The sequence below is a fragment of the Homo sapiens genome, chromosome 5, assembly GCF_000001405.40.
Source record: "Homo sapiens chromosome 5, GRCh38.p14 Primary Assembly".
In the NCBI taxonomy this organism is placed as follows: domain Eukaryota; kingdom Metazoa; phylum Chordata; class Mammalia; order Primates; family Hominidae; genus Homo; species Homo sapiens.
The window spans coordinates 158272082-158277877 of record NC_000005.10 but is presented as its reverse complement, the minus strand read 5'-3'; the positions used below and the strand labels follow the sequence as shown (position 1 = coordinate 158277877).

General features: G+C 40.3%; 2 annotated features.

Moving 5' to 3' along the window:
- Nucleotides 4120–4833: an enhancer, noted in NCBI's record as "OCT4-NANOG-H3K27ac-H3K4me1 hESC enhancer chr5:157700053-157700766 (GRCh37/hg19 assembly coordinates)". NCBI's record gives its function as "activates a minimal SCP1, AML or CMV promoter by ChIP-STARR-seq in naive H9 embryonic stem cells {active_cell/tissue: H9 hESC(naive)}" and the evidence as "EXISTENCE:reporter gene assay evidence [ECO:0000049][PMID:30033119]".
- Nucleotides 4834–5548: an enhancer, noted in NCBI's record as "OCT4-NANOG-H3K27ac-H3K4me1 hESC enhancer chr5:157699338-157700052 (GRCh37/hg19 assembly coordinates)". NCBI's record gives its function as "activates a minimal SCP1, AML or CMV promoter by ChIP-STARR-seq in naive H9 embryonic stem cells {active_cell/tissue: H9 hESC(naive)}" and the evidence as "EXISTENCE:reporter gene assay evidence [ECO:0000049][PMID:30033119]".

Here is a 5796-nt window from a genome sequence, read left to right as displayed (position 1 = left end):
TGGAAGATAAATAAAATTTTGTGTTAGAATGTGTGGGAAATACAGAGTTGAAGAACCCCTCATGAATCTAAATGCATAAAGCATTTGTTTGGATGGTAAGGAGGTAAAAGAGATCACTAATGGGTATTTCCAATGTTAACATCTTCTGACTTCACAATTTTCCAAACATAATGTTGCATGTATTCTGATGCAGGCAAAGAGATAATTACGGAGTAACTGCTTGCACTCAGTGTAAATTAATCAAATGTAAATTTAATAAACTGTAAATAGAAGATACTCCTAAGCTGATACGGCAAGCGAATCACCTCCATTATAGACTCATTTTTGCAAAATTACATCTAATCATAGTATTTTAAGATAGTGTTTGGCAAAACATCTCTAAATCTGTCAACAAAAGCAGCTATTACTTCTTTGCGGCTGAATACCTTTGCCAACAAACACCCATCTGTCTGGAAAGATTTATGTGTGGTTCTGCCTGAAGCCAGGGGTAAAAATCTCAATGACCTCTGGGGATTTCTTTCACCTTTGTGTTCAGAGAGTCAATAAAAATTCGTTTTAAAGTAACCTCAACTGCACAATCCGGAAAAAAACTACAAAGCTGAGACGTAATCAAGTTTGTCCCAAGAATCCCCCAAATAGAAATTCTTCTAGTAATTATACAGGTGATTTTGCTTGATCAACAATTTAATCTTGCTTGTCAATTGCTGCTTTAAGAGCCTCCAAGCTCCTTAATACAGCTCAGAAGAAAGACCCACAAGTCCCAATTAGCACCACCATACTTAATCCTCTACCAGACTGATTATTTTAGTTCTTCAAGCACAGACCTTGGCCCACACAGTTCCTTCTGCATGGGCCACTCTTTCTCCCTCCCCACAGCTCATTCGCCCCTTGCTGTGGCTGATGTGTTCTCTACCTTCAGGCCTTGGTTCACACTGGGGGATCAAGGAAACCTTCTCCCTCTCCCTCTACCGTCCATGAATTAGATGGCCCCTTTTAGGTGATAGCACCCTTTTCTTACTGCTTATAGTGAAAGTACTTTTCCGTGTAAGCATTATTCCCTTCAGCGTTGAGGACAGAAACTGGGTCTTCATTATTACAGCAAAAAGCAGAGGAGGCCAAGTTAGAAAGTGATTTATATGCCTTGCTAAAAAGTTTGGGCTTTATCCTGAAAGGTATAGAAAGAAGCTATTGGAGACATTTGTCATGCTCATATATACCTCACCAGAAAGTTCATATCAGCAACATCAGAAATGGACCTCCAGAGGATGAGGATAGACGGTGAGGGGTCCACACTAGCAGCACTGAGACCACTTAGGGAATGATTCCTGTGAGCCAGGTCAGAGAGGATGGAGGCCTGATCTACAACCATGAATACTAGGGATGGAGAATCATGGTCAGTTAGGAGAGACATTTAGGAAGCAGAAATCTGTGCAGTTCGTGACTGAGTACACAGTAAACTGAAAAACTTTGAGAGAGAAAAAAAATCAAGGTGAAATTTGGCTTCTGGTTTGGACAACTAAGCAAATTATAGTGCTAGTCACTTGAGAAAGGTTACAGAAGGAGGAACAAGTAGAGGTATGGAGAAAGTGATGATTACTTCCCTTGATACACTGACTTCAAGAAGCCTGCAAAGCATTTAGAAGGAGGTGACCAAGAGGCATCTGTATAAATACATATGAATCTAATGTAAAGAAGAGAAGTCTGGACCAAAGATACAAATTTGAGAGTCATCGGGTTGTAAAAGATACTGAACTCACCTATGCAGTTCATCAATGTATCAAATGTATATTGAAAAAATAGAGGCCTTGACCAGAAGCTTGAGCAATACCAACATTTGAAGGGTAACAGAAGAGGGGCTCATGAAGAAGACTGAGAAGGAGTGGCCAGAAAGGAAGGCAAAATCAAGAGGAAGTATAAAGTCAAAGGAAAGAGAAAGCTGCAGAAGATAGATATTATTAATCAGCTATGATTACATACCAATCACAGAATCTCAGGTGCATGCGGTAACAAGCATGTATTAACCTGCTCCCAGGTCAGCTACAATGGCTTTGCTCAGGCTGCAGGCATTGGCCGTAGCTGCTCAGCTCCACGTATCTCTCATTCTCTTGGGACCAGTGAGTGCCATGAGGCATGTTCTTCTCCTACTGATGGCAGAAGCCCAAGAGGAACATATGGAAGCTTGCAATGCCTTTTAAGTCGTAGTCTCAGGCTAGCACTCTACTACTTCTGCTTTATTTCATTGGCTAAAATAAGTCACAAGGCTAGGCTGTGCAGGTCAATGGGTAGAAAAGCGGTAAAAAGGGATCAGAACTGTGACTGTGGCTGCAGCAATTTCATAGGACGCTTTGTATTGTCCACAAGTAAAAAGTGACATTGTTCACTCGAACTAAACTATTGTTTTGTATGTTTTCAAACATACCTAGAGTTGGAACCTGGTTGGCCCATCCCTTTGGAGGAATCTAGCATGCCAGGGTCAGTCACTAGAAGTCACACCTTTATAAGAAGCCAAGGGGTTTCCCAGGTAAAAATAATCATACAGCCTGTGAGGATCAGGAGAGTGATAGGGTCAGGCTTTTTTGATATCAAAGGAAAGGCTGGCTCAAATAAGCTCATGAAAGGGGGGGAGTTTATTGTAAAGATATGTATTGAGTAGAAGTGGGAAGCTATCAAGAATAGAGTCATATCCAGGGGCTGAATACTTTCCACAGCTTTCCTTTCACGCAGATCTCATGGTCTCTTTCTCATATTATTTTAGCTTCTGTCTGCATTTCTGGACCATTCTCCTTATCTGTCAACTGATGCTTCTGTTTACTTGTACGTTCTGCTCCATCTGAAATTCTACTCACATGTACCTCTGCCTGGCCATGATTCTAACATGGGACATTTTTCTGTCCCTGCTTCTACCTGTCTTGAGCTCTTCAAGTTCCCCAGTTCAAACTCCTAAGGGGAAGATTTGGATTTTTCCAGCTTATTTCTCACAATGAGTTGTGTCACTGGAAAGCTGATTAATGGCTCACCCTTGAGTCAGGTAGCCATTCCTAATCTAGCCAGTCGTGACTACTGAGGGGAGGTACAGGAGTAAGGAAGTTTCTCTTAGGAAGTACTGTCAGTAGGGAGGTACCAGCTGAGCTTTCTAGTAAAGGGAGGCCCCCAGAACATTGGGTTTAGCATTCAAAGAAGAGTAAGTGGAATGTTCACTCTCTGTTTGGAGAGATCCCCCCATGGAAAGTTCATCCTGAAAGAAGGATTGGAGATGCTGACTAAACCCCAGGTCACTGACCAACTATAGATGTCAAGGAAGACTTCAGCATGGTACCCAATGGGATGCCTCTCATAGATCTCCAATTAAACCTCATTGACAAAAACTTGTCCCAGAATCCTTGAGATGAAAGCTAAAGAAATAAATTGAATACAAAACTGTAAAACTGAGAGGTGAGAAAGACTAAGACCACACCGTTTAGAATCCTTATGCAAGGATTGAAACACTGGCAGGGAGAGAGTCCTCCTCACTCCCTCATTGTGAGCAAAGAAGCAATAGGCGAGGAGCGATAGAGGCCATGACCATTTATGATGCCTGGTGAGATACCAAGATAGCCAGGATGGCTATGGTTGTCCTTCCCACATAACCAAAGAAGACAAGCAAGCAGCTGGAATAATAAACCAAAAGTTCTAGGCTACATCATGGCATTCCTTCATTTGATGCCCTCTGAATTCCATTTTGCAAGATTTGATTTCCTTCAAGTGTGGTTGATGCTGTGGCTGTCACTGCTTTCTCCATGGAAATGAGAAAGCCTGTACTTAGTCCATCATGGAGTAGATTTGCTTCTCTCTTCTCTATAACTTATTCAAAGCAGTGAGAGTTTGTGTTCCAAACCCGGGTTGTGCCTCAGCCCCATCCAAAGATGTCTCCAATTACTCAATTGATTTCTTATTGTGCATCTACTCTATGCTTCAAACTGGGTCAGATCTAAGAGTAATGATATTTCCGGGACTATAGAATATATTAGAAGTAATTTGAGAACAACATGGGATAGCGTATGGTGAAGGATCACACAAAAGAATACAAACAACAGTTCAAAGAAAGCAAGGGTAAATTAGCTAGCATCACTGCAATAGGCTTGAGGATACAAACAGGATTAAATTTCAGCTAGCCCCAAAGAACACAGCTATTATGGCTATAAAAAATTCTCCAAAGTGCCTCCCTCTTCCCTCACCCTCAAAAATAAAGCTAAATAATAAAAAGATATAAATGATGATTTATTTAATTTTTTACATAAACATATGACACACCTGTTACTTTTAAAAAGGGGGAAGAAGGTGTCAGCAAATCAAACCATAAGGTGTCACAAATCCAAGAGGGTTGGAAATCACCACATTCAAGTCCCCATTGGGTTTGGAGAGATTTATGCTTCTTAAAAGCGTCCAGACATTAGCAGCTCAAACCCCCACACTGTATATCCTGGCTTCATTTAAAGGACCCACAGGTCAGACCAAAACACAACGGAGCTTTATATGCCAGTTTTTCTTGACTCTCTGTAGGTCAGGGAAGTTAAGCTCAAGTAATTAGGGGATAAAGACAGAGGCTGGGAGTGGGGGATGGAAGCATGATGAAAGTTCCAGAGTTTAAAGGCTCAGTAGGAAGCCAGAGAAAAAGTCGATAAAGTCATGTCTTCACGAAACACGTGTTTTCCATGGTAGAGTAAACGCATTTGCCGTCACACACAGGGAATCTCTCTGTGACCATAGCACTCTCACCCACCTGTGGGGCAAGGACAATTCAAATGCATTGTGATGATTGTGAGACCATTGTTATCTTGAGTTGCTTTCTCAGTCATCAAATACCCATTCTGTTATGTTCAGTAATTATCAGCACTAAGTGCATTCCGTTGCATTAACTTTATTTTGAAAATGATAACCCAGGTGGCTTTTTAATGATAATTCTTTTTTAATATATGATTGAACTGTTCATAAATGATGCCAAAGAACAGACAGGTTCCTATAAATGCTGCAGCCAAGCCCAAAAGTGTAGTCTCAACATGTAAAGAGGTCAGGAAATAATGACCAGCAGCAGTGAAAACAAAGCAGTGGAAATTAAGAACAGCCATAACTAAGCAAATAAATGGAGAAAAACCCTACAGTTTTCAGAACAAATACACAGAAAAGAATCTCATATTGTCCGGATGAGACAAACATACTGATTGACTAGATCCCAAAATCAGTCTTCTTGATTCCAGCTGTGCTATTAACAAATGAATGGAGCCCATGGCTCTTTCAGACCGAAAACCAGTGTTAATGAACTCAGTGAGCTTCATCTAAAAACTAAGTGCTATGTTGATGGCTATTCACAGTATATACATCCATCATTTATCAGGAACTGTTGCCAAACGTTTTCTTATGATAACATACCAATTACATGTGATGGTCAAATGGCATTTGTCTATTACATATTTCTGGCACATATCATTTCAAAGGGGAGTATTTTTTTATGTTGTTAAGTTTTTTCAGTCTTTATTCATTATTGATCCATCTATCATCTTTTTTTTCTTTCTTTTTTCCTTCCTTCCTTTCTTCCTTTGAAGAAATGTATAGCGAGCATCTGTTATATGCTAGGCACTGTTCTGGGCTTTGGGAAGACAGTGGTACAAAAAACAGATAAGATCCCTCAAGTATAGTGTACATTCTACAGAGGATAGACAAGCAAAAACCAAGTAAACAAACATATTTTTTAAAAATTCAGATAGTGCTTGAAGTCATAGAAGAAAGAAAAAGTACTGGAAGAAAATAAGGTTGCTTTAG